At 37.2% G+C, this 15626-nt stretch overlaps 1 protein-coding gene across 6 annotated transcripts in view, besides 1 other annotated feature; it reads right to left on the bottom strand.

Moving 5' to 3' along the window:
• Positions 1–15626, bottom strand: part of ARFIP1 (ARF interacting protein 1) — a 132404-nt gene that overhangs the window by 96063 nt on the left and 20715 nt on the right. The window lies entirely within an intron of this gene.
• Positions 7124–7805: an enhancer, noted in NCBI's record as "OCT4-NANOG hESC enhancer chr4:153729642-153730323 (GRCh37/hg19 assembly coordinates)". NCBI's record gives its function as "activates a minimal SCP1, AML or CMV promoter by ChIP-STARR-seq in naive and primed H9 embryonic stem cells {active_cell/tissue: H9 hESC(naive and primed)}" and the evidence as "EXISTENCE:reporter gene assay evidence [ECO:0000049][PMID:30033119]".

Raw genomic sequence — 15626 nt, 5'->3', positions numbered from 1 at the left:
AATTATCACGAGAACTCTGGATTTTATTCTGAGTAAGATGAAAATCTAGCTGAGAGTTTTGAACAGTGGGGTAAAACAATCTGACTCAGGTTTTTAAAGTACTGTTGTTTTGCTACTGTGTTGGAATTAAACAATAATCATGCACAGGCAGAAGGAGAACAATTAGGAGCCTACTGGAATAGTCTAGGCAAGAGATGATAGTAGCTTGGAGTAGGGGAACAGTAGCTGAGGATGTAAAGAAGTGGTCAGATGGCCGGGCGCGGTGGCTCACGCCTGTAATCCCAGCACTTTGGGAGGCTGAGGCGGGCGGAACACGAGGTCAGGAGATCGAGACCATCCCGGCTAAAACGGTGAAACCCCGTCTCTACTAAAAATACAAAAAATTAGCCGGGCGTAGTGGCGGGCGCCTGTAGTCCCAGCTACTTGGGAGGCTGAGGCAGGAGAATGGCGTGAACCCGGGAGGCGGAGCTTGCAGTGAGCCGAGATCCCTCCACTGCACTCCAGCCTGGGCGACAGAGCGAGACTCCGTCTCAAAAAAAAAAAAAAAAAAAAAAAAGAAGTGGTCAGATTACAGGTATATTCTGAAGGTAAAGACAACACGAATTCCTTACAGACAGATGTGAGATAAGGAAAAATGAGAAGTCAGGGATAACTCTCAAGAGTTTTGGCTGAATAGCTGGAAAGATGGAATTGCCATTGGACAAGATTGGGGGAAGAGCACAATGTAAGGGAAATATCAAGAATTTAGTTTAGGACATATCAAAGTTTACAAGCCTATTATATGCAAGCAAAGAAGGTAAGTAGGTTACTGGATTTATGAGCCTGAGGTCCAGACAAAAGCTTGAAGCTGGGAATAAGAAATTTAGAAGACATCAGTGTGTAAATGCACTTAAATCTCTGACTGGATGAGATCACCTAGAACAGGAGTCAACAACTTTTTTCTATGAAGGGTCATACAGTAAATATCTAAAGCTCTGTGGGCCATAAGGTCTCTGTTGCAACTACTCAATTTTGCTGTTGCAATCCCAAAGCAGCCACTGACAGTATGCAAATGAATGAGCATGGATTTGGCCTGACTCCTGCCCTAGAAAGTCTGTAGAGATTAAAAAAAAAGAAGCAGAAGAATCTAAAAACTACACTCTGGGATATCCCAAAATCTGAGATACAGGGAAATGAAGAGGCACTAGCAGAAAAAACTCATAAAGAATGGCATGTAAGGTAGAAGGAGAAACATAACAGGGGGCTTCTGAGGACAGGTAAAAAGAACACAGGTTCCTGCTTCTGAGACTGATGACAAAGACCCTACTGAACCTCCCCACACCTGCAAGAATGCAACTACAAAACTGAACACAATTTAAAAAGAAATCCCCTGAAAGTATCAGAAAGTAAACAGAAACTCTGGTGGGGAGGTCGTGCTCACTTGCAGAATGGAAACAGGGATCTATGCAAGTAACTTTCCGTCTCCTAGGCTTTTAGCTTTGAGCTAAGTGCTATCCATGCTGTGCATCCAGCAGTGGCCAGGGTACCCAGGGGGAAAGTTGTAGTCTTACTTTTGCTTATTCTTTTACCTTTACCTTACCTTATCTTACCTTATTTATTTTTTGAGACAGGGTCCCAGTCTGTTGCCCTTGGCTAGCAGTGCAATAGGGTGATCATGAATCACTGCAGCCTTGACTGTTCAAGCTCAGGCAATCCTCCACCTCAGTGTGCCACCATGCCTGGCTAATTTTTTGTTTTTTAATTTTTTGTAGAGACCAGGGTGTTATTATGTTGCCCAGGCTGGTCTCAAACTCCTAGATTCAAATGATCCTCCCACCTCAGCCTTCCAAAGTGCTGAGATTACAGGCATGAACCAATGCACCTGAGCTGAAACATTTTTAAAGTGATGAAAGACAGAAACTGGCTAGGAGTGGTGGCTCATATCTATAATCCCAGCACTTTGGTAGGCTGAGATGGGTGGATGGCTTGAGCCCAGGAGTTCAAGTCCAGCCTGGGCAATACGACAAAACCCCGTCTCTACAAAAAATACAAAAAACATTAGCTAGGCATGGTGGTGCGCACCTGTGGTCTCAGCTATTTGGGATGCTAAGGTGGGAAGATCACCTGAGCCCAGGGAGGTCGAGGCTGCAGTGAGCTATGATCATGTCCCTGCACTCCAGCCTGGGTGACAGAGTGAAACAAAAAAAAAAAAAAAAAAGAAGAAGAAGAAAGAAGACAGAAGAAGAAGAACAAAAGAAAAACTGTCCACCTAGAATTCTATATCGAATAAAGGAGAAATAGATATTTTTGGACAAAACCAAAAGACTTGACTTGCATTACAAGAAATATTAAAGGAAGTTCTTCAGGCTGAAGGGAAATGAAATCAGAGAGAAAGGTGGATTTTCAGAAAAGAAGGAGGAGGAAGTGAAACGGTAAATAACTTGGTAAATACAAAAAATAACCCTATTTTTTCCCTTTTGCCTTTTCCTCTTAATTTATTTATAATCCACATAATTGCTTGAAGAAAATGTTATAAGATTATCTTCTGGGGCTTAATATGTATCAAGATATAATATCTATAATAACAATTATTATCAAAAAACAGGGGAAAGGTAAGGAAAATATGGACCTAAAAGGTTGTAAGATTTCTGTATTTCAAGTGAAGCAGTGCATTATTACTTGTAAGTGGACTACAAAATTTCAGGATATATACTGTACTCCTATGGCAACCACTAAAAGTATAATGCAAAGAAGTACAGCTAAAAAGTAATCAGAAAAATAAAAATGGAATTCAAATAAAAATATTCCAATAATCAACATTAAAAATATTCAGATTATCAAATAATAAATGAAAAGGCAGGAAAAGAGGAGGAGAGGAAAAACGCAGAGTAGAGAAGCATAAAAACAAACAAAAAACTGAAAGGAATAAGAAAGCAAGAGGAGTCTGATCAATTTACAGTCATCCCTTGGTATCTGTGGGGGACTGGTTCCAGGACCCCCCAGCCCACACTCCCCATCCCATGGATACAAAATTCTACCGATGCTCAGGGCCCTTATATAAAATGATGTAATATTTGGATATAACCTATGCATATCCTCCTGTACACTTTAAATCATCACTAGATTATCTGTAATACCTAATTCAATGCAAATGCTATATAAGTAACTGTTACACTGTATTATTTTTTATTGTTTTTCCCCCTCAAATATTTTCAATCCAAGGTTGGCTGAATCCATGGATTAGAACTCATGGACAGGGAGGGCTGACAGTATTTTAAACAGCCTGGTGGGAGGCTAGACTGAAGGAAAGCATCACAGACTGAAGACAGAAAAGCTATTTGAAAGACTATTTTACAATATAGTCAATAAATCATAACAACTGGAATCAAAGTTGTGGGAATGAAAAAAGGTGGATTCAACAGATATTAAGGAAGCAGAAATAAGAGACTTACAGAGTAACTGGATTGTGGAAATGAAAAAGAAGGAGGAATCTAGAATGACCTACCTCTTCTCACTGTCCTCCAATTTATGGCTTGGGCAACTAGAAAGATAAACATGTCACTCACCAAAATAAGGAAAGCAAGAGGTTTATTTGGCTTGGAAAGGCCAGAGATTGAGTCTAGTGTAGACATTCTGAATTTGAGAATGTTTGTGGGGTATCCAAGTCCACCAGTTCATTTGGAATTTCAAAATGCAAGTCTAGAGCTCCAGGCTGAAAACATAAACCTGGAAATCATCACTTTAGGGATGTGGATGGCATTAACTGTTAAGAATGACAAAAGAACTCAAGAGAAGAATCGTGTGGAACATTAAAAGGAAGAGAAGGCCAGACGGGGCGGCTCACACCTACAATCCCAGCACTTTGGGAGGCCAGGAGGGAGAATGGCCTGAGCCCAGGAGTTTGAGACCAGCCTGGGCAACATAGGGAGACCCTGTCTGTACTTTTATTTTTAATTAGCCTGGCTTGGTGGCATGTGCCTGTGGTCCTACCTACTCAGGAGGCTGAGGTGGAAGGATTGCTTAACCCAGGGAGGTCACAGTTGCCGTGAGCCATGATCGTGCCACTGCACTCCCGCCTGGCTGACGCAGCAAGAACTCATCTCAAAACAACAACAACAAAAGGCAGAAGATACTGCAAAAAAGATTCTGGGGGTAAGGGGAGTAAATGGTTCATGATGCAGATACAGCAGAGAAAATTACAGCAATGGAACTATGTATTGTTCCGGGTTTGTGACTTTAAATAAAAAACCGATGTTCTGAAAATCAGAAAGACAATGATAAACCAATACTACTTTATGCCGTAAAGTAGGTAACAAGAATACTCATTTGCCAAAAGATATGCAAACATTGCAACTATTATCTATTCATTTTCTTCCCTACAAAGAATGACCCATTTTGGGGGAACATCATTTACTAACCATTAATTATAGTACTGAAAATTAACAGCCAACATACAAATCGGCAGAATAAGGCCCCAAACCAAAAGCTCCATGTTATCTCCCTGGACAAAAAATATACATGATACCTCACTCATGCTTTAAATTGAAATTGAATTTAAATTCAAATTAGACAACCAAAATAATTATACAAAATGCTTTGGGACATAATTATGTCCTTTAGGAATAAAAACAATCTCTTTTGTTCTAAGGTTGAGGCTATTTAAGGTCCTTCACAATAGGTTCCAATCAACTTTTCGGGCTTCACTTCTTTTAACTTTACTCTTCTAGATATCCTCTATTACTGAATCTACTACTTACCATTTCTGGAACATGAAATGTACTTTGATATCTATGAACATTTGCTGAAATTGTTCACAATGCTCGAAATATTCTTCCAACTTCAATATCTAGTAAGATCCTGCCCATAACTTAAGGCTCAGCTCAAATGATCTCTCTTCTATAAAACTTATTCCAAAGCCTCAGAGATACCACACACTATAATGAGAAGACTAAGGGCTTTGGACTTGGGTTAAAATCCCAGCTGTACAATATAACAGCTGCTTTCTGATCTTCATTACTTAATCTTGTTTTTCTCATCTATAATATTAAGAAACATATCGGATAATACTTGAGGAAATTAAGTAAAGATTTATTCAAAGCACTTATGAAGGGTAGCCGGCACACAGAAGGCATTCATTGAATAAAGAACAATGTCTCCAGAGTGGGTGTGCTAGTAAATGTTTAACAACCAGTTTTCCAAACTGAAAAAAAAAAAAAAAAAAAAAAGGCTTAACCTTAGCATGTGGCTGTTGTCGATTTCCATGTTGCCAATACTTCTACAGTGGCCAATTTCAAGCTTCGAACGTGACCTCACTGAATCCAGAGGCAGGAAAAAGAGACATGCAATAGCACACCATCATACAGTAGAAAGAGATACGCTGCAGCACAACATCATATAGTAGAGATAAGCACAGCACACTATCATACAGTAGAAAGAGATACGCAGCAGCACACTATCATATAGTAGGAAGAGATGTGGAATAGCACACCATCTTTTTTTTTAGACAGAGTCTCGCTCTGTAGCCCAGGCTGGAGTGCGGTGGCGTGATGTTGGCTCACTGCAAGCTCCGCCTCCCAGGTTCATGCCATTCTCCTGCCTCAGCCTCCCAAGTAGCTGGGACTACAGGCACCCGCCACCACGCCCAGCTAATATTTTTTTTTTTTGTATTTTTAGTAGAGATGGGGTTTCACCATGTTAGCCAGGATGGTCTCGATCTCCTGACCTCATGATCCACCCGCCTCAGCCTCCCGAAATACTGCCATTACAGGCGTGAGCCACCATGCCTGGCCAGCACACCATCGTATAGTAGAAAGAGATATACACCAGCACAACATCATATTGTATTTCTACCACGGAAACACCACAGACACAACTTTAAGAGCACAGATAACAGTAAAAGACAGTAACATATTTAGGAACTACTAAGTTTGAGGAGGTATTACTTTTATTTTTAATATATGTATTTAATAATAACTTTACATAATTTTTAAAATAATGGCTGTGTTTAACAGTTGGCTTACAAATTCTTGAAAATTTACCAATCAGCTTTTGCAGGCAGTACAAGCCAGCTTTAGCCACCACTGAATTATTTCCAAGTTAGAAAAGTATTAGGCACACACTCTGTACAGCTGAATCTTTGGAAACAATCTTTAAAAATCCAATATATATGGATGTCACATTCCAATTATGATGTTACTTTTTTGGAGATGATCTAAAGGCATCGTCATGTACCAAACCTGCATACCAACAGAAGGTGAGATTCACTATTATATTCATAAACAAAAAACTGAACATTTTATTCATTTTTTTATTTTACAAAGCAACAATCAAATCATGTGCCTTTTTTAGTGTTGTTCCTTGTTAAGTTCAAGTACATTCTAAATCCACAATCATGTTAAAGGAGAAGATCAAAGCTGAGCAAATACTCTTACATGACCATGACTACTGCTCCAGTGCTAACAGAAAGAGTGCATTTGTAATAGGTGATTTTCTTGAGTTGTATGTAGAATGTACTTTAAAAGCAGAATTAGCATTGTAACATGAAGAGTAATGCAAAATTAAAAATATGAGCATAGAACTTACCTAGAGAGCTAGTATATTGTACAACCAAAAAAGTGAAGGCTGGGAACTAGCTTCTTGAATCCTGTCAATGGGTCAAAGTTGGGGATAAATTAACATGACACATATCTAATAAAGATTTTATAGTTGGTGCTTCATTCCTAAAGGGTACAGCAAGCCCCCTTGAGAAGCAATGGAATATTCCATTTGTACATGCCAACGATTATCAACCCTCTGCATCTCAGAACTACTAGGGGAGCTTTCTGCCTCTCCACGGAGATCATAATTTTAATCTTTTGAAATTAATCAAGAGTTGTTGCATGCATCAGTAGTTCATTCCTTTTGTATTGCTGAGGAATATTTCATTGTATGTATATATCAATTTCTTTAGTCATTAACCTAATGATGGACTTTTTTTAGTTTTGGGCTCTCGTAAGTAAAGCTGCTATGAATACACATCTACAAGTCAGGACCCATATGAATGGCCACTATGCATTTAAAGTAGTTTTAAAAGCTCACCAGGTGATTCTAATGTGCAGCCAAGTAGAACCAGTGCTATAAGCATGCCCTATATAAGAGAGGAAGGTTAATACAGCAAAATTAGCTATACAAATATCTTTTGTATTTACACAAAAACCCAAGAACACCTACTGTTATTTAAGGACCTGTGTTTACATGCTACAACACTTGCCACTTATTTTTTTTTTGAGACGGGTCTTCCTCTGTCGCCCAGGCTGGAATGCAGTGGTGCAATCTTTGCTCACTAAAATCTCCGCCTCCCAGGTTCAAGCCATTCTCCTGCCTCAGCCTCCTGAGGAGCTGGGATTACAGGCACATGCCACCATGTGGTGAAACACCACGGGGTTTCACCATATTGGTCAAGTTGGTCTTGAACTCCCATCCTCAGATGATCTGCATGCCTCGGCCTCCCAAAGTGCTGGGATTACAGGCAAAAGCCACCACGCCCGGCTCCACTTTGTAAAACACACAGAAAACCTTAGCATTGGGAAGGAGCTACAAAGTCATTCAGCTCAACTTGTCATGCAGATTAAAACCACCAGATACCATTATACACCCATTAGAAGGCGGAAACTAGAAAGACTGACAAAACCAAGTAGTAGCCAGTATGTAGAGCAACTAGACTCTTATACATTGCTGGTACAAGTAAAAGTTGGTAAAAATCACTTTGGAAAACTATTTGGCAGTACTATTTGAGTTAAACATACGACTATCCTATAACCCAGCAATTCCACTCCTAGGAAATATACCCAAGAAATATAAATACACATGTCCATTAAAAGGCAAGTACAAGAATATTCATAGCAGCTTTACCTATAATGGCCAAAACCTGGAAACAATCCAAATGTCTATCAAATAAACTGTGGTGGAGTCATACAATGAACTACCACACAGCAATAGAACACAACAAACTACTGCTACAAAAAAAAAAAAAAAAAAAAAAAAAAAAAAAAAATGGAGGCCAGGCGTGGTGGCTCACACCTGTAATCCCAGCACTTTGGGAGGCCAAGGTGGGAAGATCACCTGAGGTCGGGAGTTCAAGACCAGCCTGACCAACATGGAGAAACTCCGTCTCCACTAAAAATACAAAAATAGCCAGGCGTGGTGGCGCATGCCTGTAATCCCATTTACTTGGGAGGCTGAGGCAGGAGAATCACTTGAACCTGGGAGGCGGAGGCTGCAGTGAGCCAAGATCGTGCCACTGCACTCCGGCCTGGGCAACAACAGCGAAACTCTGTCTTAAAAAAAAAAATGGAAAAAACTTCACAGACATAATGTTCAGCAAATGAGACCAGAACCAAAGAGTACATATTACATGATCCAATTCAAAAAGAAAACCAGTAAGTGTTGATGATATAGGCAGAACAGTGGTTATCTTGGGGTGGAATAGTACGGAGTCATGACCGTGGGTAAGCAAAATTTCTTAGACACAAAAAGCAAAAACAAGAAAAGAAAAATACTGATAATCTGGACCTCATTAAAATTAAAAACCTCTTTTCAAAAGACACCATCAAAAAAAAAACAAAAAGGTGAACCACAGACTAGGAGAAAATCAGTTACAATATCTATATGTGACAAATGACTGACAGCAAAGACATATAAATAACTCTTGCAATTCAATAGCAAGAAAACACAAATGAAAAATGGCCAAAACGTAACAGAACACTTCACAAATGAAAGTACAGGAATGGCGAGTAAGTACATTAAAAGATGCTCAACATCATTAGTCATCAAGGAAATGCAAATTAAAACCACAATAAGATGCCACTACATAACCACTATAACGGCTCAAGTAAAGATGACTATAATACCAAATGTGAGTGAAGGGCAACTGGAACTTGCATACATGAATGTAGGAAATGCAAAAAGTACTTCACTTTGGACAACTGTTTAGCAATTTCTTGTAAAGGTAAATATATACTTGACTATATGACTTAGCCATTCTATACAAAAACATTCACCAAAAAGAAATTAAAATAAACGTCCTTACTTGTAGACATGTACTCCTAGCAGCTTTCCTTATAAGAACCCAAAACTAGAAAAAAAAAAAAAGTCCATCACTAGGTTAATGAATAAACAAATTGTGGTATATCCATACAATGAAATATTCCTCAGCAATACAAAAGGAATGAACTACTGATGCATGCAACAACTCTTGATTAATTTCGAAACATGGGTTTAACACCAAACTGGGCAACATAGCGAGATGCTCTCTAAAAATAATTTTTTTTATTAGCCTGCTGTGGTGGTACATGCCTGTTAGTCCTAGCTACTCAGCAGGTTGAGGTGGGAGGACTACTTGAGCCTGAGAGTTCAAGGTTACAGTGAGCTATGATTCTGCCACTGCATTCCAGCATGGGTGTCAGAGTGAGACCTGTCTCTAAAAAAAAAAAGAAAGAAAAAGAAAAAAAAACTTACGTTGAGCTAAAAAAAAAAAAGTCAGGCACAAAAAGAATACATACTATTATGATTCCAGTTGTACAGAATTCTAGAACATACAAAACTAATTTGTTATGACAGATCAGTGGTTGCCTGGGAGACAAGTAATGTAGGGAAGAACTGATTGCAAAGGGACACAAGAAACTAACTGTATGGTGATGGAAACATTCTGTATCTTGATTATGACTGTGGTTTTCCAAGTTTATATATGTGTCAAAACTCATTAGACTGCACATTTTAAATGAGTACACTTATATGTAAATTTTACCTCAATAAACTGTTGATTTTGAAAAAAAGGTAAAAATTACATTTTATCATCTCTAATGGCAGAGGACCTATTTTTCCTGCAGGCCCCCAATCCACCCAGAGAGCAACCATACCATACCAGTCTGGTGGCGGGAGGTGTGTGTGACCCTGATCACAGTGCCCACCTACAAAGAGGAACTATATCAGCTCCACAACCCAGCAGCAAAAGAAGTTTGTCATTTTCCAAAATGTGTCCTGCCCACAAAAAATAAATTACACTAATACTCTCTCACTAGAAAAATGACTGCATAGTTCTAAGTGTCATTTACAAACCTATTTTCCCTGTGTTTGATCCAGAGTCTGAAAATTAGAAGTACTGCCTCAAAGAGAATATCTAAAGAAAGGCAAATATCTGAAGAGTGGCAGAACATAAAATGCAATCACGAAGAAAAAAAATTCTTCTGTTCCTCATTTTAGATCTTTTAAAATAGCAATACAGGCATAACTGGTTTGCCAAGTAAGACTTTAGCCAAGTATGATGTATATTTCCTTATTTTTGGCTGCCCAGCCCCAGGCCCCAACCAAAGTTGGGGAAAGCCTCCACATTGTGAGGCTTGGGAAAGGGCAGAGCCCGCCTTGTATTACATAAAAGCTCAAAATACCAGACATTCAAGCAAATATCTGAAGCCAGATTGTTTGTGTTCAATTCATGGCTCCTCCACTAGCTGTGAACCTTAGGCAAATTCCTAAAGCTCTCTTCCTTCATCTGTAAGATGATAATGGTACCTACCTCATAGCATTGTTGTGGCACAAAATAAAAACATAAAGTATTTAGAAGAGCGCTTGACATATGAGTGCTATATTCAGTTACATTAATACTATTCTTTCCCAAGCTCTAGGGCACTGCCATCATGATCTAGGCTCTGCCAAATCAAAGCCCACTTGCCCCAGACTTAGAATCAGAAACTAGGGTTACGAAGAAAGATATCAAAGAACTCACTAGGGGGCAAAAATAATCAGCAAGATCAAATTTCCAGGTCAGAAGTGACCATAGTGGCAGCATCCAGTCACCAGAGCTACAGGTATTGGCAGTGCAAACTGCCAAATCCAGTGTTAAGCAATGATGCCGTCATTGGACCACTGCTCAACCATGATTTGGATCAATATTCCTAGATATGTGGGCCTGGATTCTGGTTTTCCAATGCTCCAGGCAATTCTATACACTACCTCATAGCCTCTTGGTAAATCCCTTTTCTAAGTAAATGAGCTGGAACTGGTTTCATTTGCTTACAACATAAGACCTTGACATCAGATTTACAATCAGGAAGTAGATAAATGGAATATGGTCTTCCAATATCTTTATGAATGCTTTTGAGTATCAGGTGATAACTCTGAAATGGTCTAGCAAGTTTTTAGAATGTCAGAATGCTATAAAATTTGTTTGATACCTTCATAGTTCCCTACTCTAATCCTAACACTCATCACTAAAAATCTGGCCTTTATTGAGAGTTTACTACATGCCAGCCACTGTGCTAAGCACATTACATAAATCATTTCATTCAGCCTTCACAACTACCCTGGTGAAGTAAATATGATTTTCCCAATCTTACAGATGAGGAGACTGCAGCCTAAAAAGGTTAAGGAAATTAACTAATTTAAATAATGTATCCACTTGCAAATGAAGCTCTACAACAATAAGAGCTAGCATTTAATGAGTACTCACCATATATCAGGAACTAGTCTATGTTTTTCACATTAATTTTACATATTAACTGATTTAATTCTACTCACTTTATGTGCATTATCTCATTTAACCTCACAACAAATCTCTGACCTAGGTACCATTATTATTCCTATTTCACACCAATACTCTTCACACATAAGAAAACAGAAAGATTAGGAAATTTGCTTAATGATACACAGCTAGCAAGTGATGACGTGGGGATTCAAACCTGGCAACCTGGTTTAAGTTTTTAATCTTTATATTACACTGCCTCTCCTAGAGTGACTGAAATACATGAACAGGCCCTCCCAACTATATATATATATATATTATATATATATAAATAATATATATTATATATATTATATATTATATATAATATATATAATACATGTTATATTATATATAATATATAATACATGTTATATTATATATAATATATAATACATGTTATATTATATATAATATATAATACATGTTATATTATATATATAAAATATATATAATACATGTTATGTTATATATATATAATATATATAATACATGTTATGTTATATATATAATATATAATACATGTTATATTATATATTATATATAATACATGTTATATTATATATAATATATAATACATGTTATATTATATATAATATATAATACATGTTATATTATATATAATATATAATACATGTTATATTATATATAATATATAATACATGTTATATTATATATAATATATATTACGTTATATTATATATAATATATATTACATGTTATATTATATATAATATATATATTACGTTATATTATATATAATATATATATTACATGTTATATTATATATATAAAATATATATAATACATGTTATATATATACACATTCAGACATTTATATGAATCAAACACACTGCTTTCTTGATGTTGACAACTTGTACTGTTGTTTCTTTTATCTCCATATTATCATGAGCAGTTAAGAGCAGCACCCCTCTTAATTTACTCTGACCCTTCACTTCCAACAACTGCAGACTGATGCATTAACCTCCATTTATATCATTAGGGCTGTCTTCTGCTAATCCCAGAGCCTTAGAGACAGCTGCATCCAGGAACCTCCTACTCCTAGCAGTTGGCAGTTGCAGAATTAAACTAGGACACCTGGAAATTAGGAGTGCCAGGATAACAAGCCTGTTGTTGAAAATGGCATCAACCGCCCAAAAATATGCACATGTTATCATTGATCATGACAGCTCAGTGGTTTTCAAACTGGGGATGTTGGGGGTGGATTTTGACACCACCTCCCCACCACCCACCATTTAGCAATGTCTGGTTGTTATAGCTGGGAATGGTGTCCTCCTGGCATTTTGAAGGCAGAGGCCAGAGATGCTGGAAAACATTGTACAATGCTGTTTAAGACAATTCCCCAAAATAAAAAATTACCCAAATATGTCAATAGTGTCAAGGGTGAGAAATTCTGTAAATTGCCTGATGCTATAAATTGCCTCTTAGATTGGCAGGCCCTATGGGTCTTTTCACTCAATGTCATAAATGTAACCCATTTCAACTGCACTGGGGGAGAACAGCTTCCCTCCTGTCCTTTGGTGGACCAAACAGCACTCCAGCAAACTTTCTCAGTACTACAATCGTGATAACGTGGCTCATAAAACTGCTTACAGTCTGACCTCTACCTACTTCTCTAGCTGCTTCTCATACCATAGTCTCCCCCTCCTTTCTTCATACTGGCCAATTTGGACAGTGGACAAATCTCCACTAACTTCATCTTTACCCTGAGGATACACAGTAATTCTCCTCCCTGACAATTCAACCCCTACTGTATAGCCTTTTCTGTAGCTGCCCAAGGCAGGGCTAAAATTTAAAAGTCAATGTACTTTTTTTCTCATGCTACTTACATTTTTCAAATCCTGAAAATACACTTTGACACTAACATAAATAGCTTTACATTTGACAATTTAGCATTTATAGGCTAATACCATATGGAAAATAAGAGTCATCCAAAGACTAAAACACTATCTTAATAATGCAAAAGAAAGGCACACCAGAAATAAGTTTCCTGCTATTCATTACATTATTCATAGTAAAACGTAATTTCTAAAATGCTTAGAAACAATGTAGAAACTTTCTAGAAAGGATCTAAAAGAACTTGCCTTAGCCTTGGTTAGATTTGTGGAACTGCGTAAGACATTATATTTTCTAAAACACATTTACATTGCTCTTTAATCCAGTTTACCACTGAGCAAACAAAAACAAAGTGGTATAATAAAGTATTTCTAGCTGTTTCTTAAATCTACTATTTTTTTAAAGTTATTTGAAAATGCAATAAAAAGTACTGTGAAATATTTCCAATGTTCAGGTTATTAACTACATATGTCAAGTAGCTATTTTGTTCTGTTATCAAGTAGTTATATTTTCTTCCTATTTAAAGGATCAAATTCTTAAGTTCAGTCAATTCCAGGCAAAGCAATGAAGAAAGTAAAGAAAGTGAAAGAAGAAAAGAAAGACACAAAGCTAATTCAATCCTAACTGTTTTAGTTATGGCTTCAGACAATGAAGGCTGCAGTGCTTAGTGGACTAATTATGCATCTCAAGAGAGATCATATTTTGTTCCAATACCAAAAAACACAAATGCCTTCTGTGTCAGATGAAATTATTCAGATTTTTGCCTACGAAAAAAGAAAGTAATTCTATTAAATTCATAATTCAAATAGTTTTTGGAATTTCCTTCTGTATTAGTAAAAATATGGCCTTTGAAAAGTGGTTAATGTATTTATTACAATGTGGTAATTCAACATGGTTCAAAACTATTAGGTGAATAAGCCTACTTAATGAAATTGCAGAACTAACCAACATATTAAGAGACATGGACTTAAGGTCCAGCTCTGTCTCTTTTTATCCTTTGCATCTCACTTTACTTGTATAACTTTGTTTCCTCATTTATAAAATGAGATTTTTAACCTCACCTATATATAACACAGCTGTTGTGAAAATCAAATGTAAAATTATAGCACACTGATTTCAGCTCAAGACTAACAGAACAAATGTTGAAGTAGTTCCAATAATACTAGTATTTACCAGCACAGCTACTCTTTGTAACTTTGTCACTATGGGTACCCTAAATGTACTTTTCTAAAACAGACCACAATCAAGACAGATTTGAAATATGATTATAAACGTTACTGTCTGCAGCCTTGTGTTTCTTTCTTTCTTCTATCTATCTTGGCAATTTCATGGCCTCAGTAGGAAGGTAATTCTCAAACCTATTATTATAAATGAATGAATAAGGCAAATATGGTGAAATCCGGATAATTACTGAACACAGATGATACAGAAATTCATTTACTCTAGGGAAAGCCATCCTAGCTGCTAGCTACATCTTGAACCACATTCCTTTCCATCTTTCCTGACAGGCAGTTCTACCCACAGAGCCCTCTCCACTGTTTCTCAAACACACCAATCTTACTAATATTTTTGCTCTTGCTCTTTGCTCTGTCTGGAAAATTCTTACTCCTGGATTTTCACGATTCTCTTCCTCACCTCATTTAGGTTTCTGCTCAAACATCAACTCCTCAGAAGGGCTACCATTGACCAATCTATGTCAATTAGCACTCTTGATCACTCTAGCCCCTTATGCTTTACAGCAGTAAACACTAGTTTACATTACATTATAAAATAACTTACGTATATCTTTAACATGGTCTGTCTCCCTCCCCGATGTGTCTACAATGTAAAAGCCGACTCCTCAGCTTGACACTCAAAATCCTTCCTATGGTCTGACCTGTTTTCTTTCTACCAATCATGTTTCTTCAGATACCCTATGAAATCAAACTTACTCTTCTCCATACGTATTTCTCAATGTTCTTTATCTGTGCTTTTGTTCAAGTAGTTCAAATTGTACCCACGCTATAAGACTTCAGAATAAATGGCACCTTCACTGATATTCCTGGCTGCTACTCCTCTGAACTGCCACAATGCTTGACTTGTACCACGCTAAAGGAATTATTATTCTGCATTTTATTTCATTTAAATTTCCTCTATTAAACAATACGACCTTGGATGCAGGATCTGTACTCGTTTCACTTTTTAGATGTCTGAGTTACACAAAAGAAGAGTGCAAATATCTGTATATTTTCCTTAAATATTAGAAATAGGTATA

This window comes from Homo sapiens, chromosome 4 (genome assembly GCF_000001405.40).
Source record: "Homo sapiens chromosome 4, GRCh38.p14 Primary Assembly".
NCBI classification, from domain to species: domain Eukaryota; kingdom Metazoa; phylum Chordata; class Mammalia; order Primates; family Hominidae; genus Homo; species Homo sapiens.
Note: the sequence above shows the minus strand (reverse complement) of the source record. Positions and strands in the feature narration are given on the sequence as shown.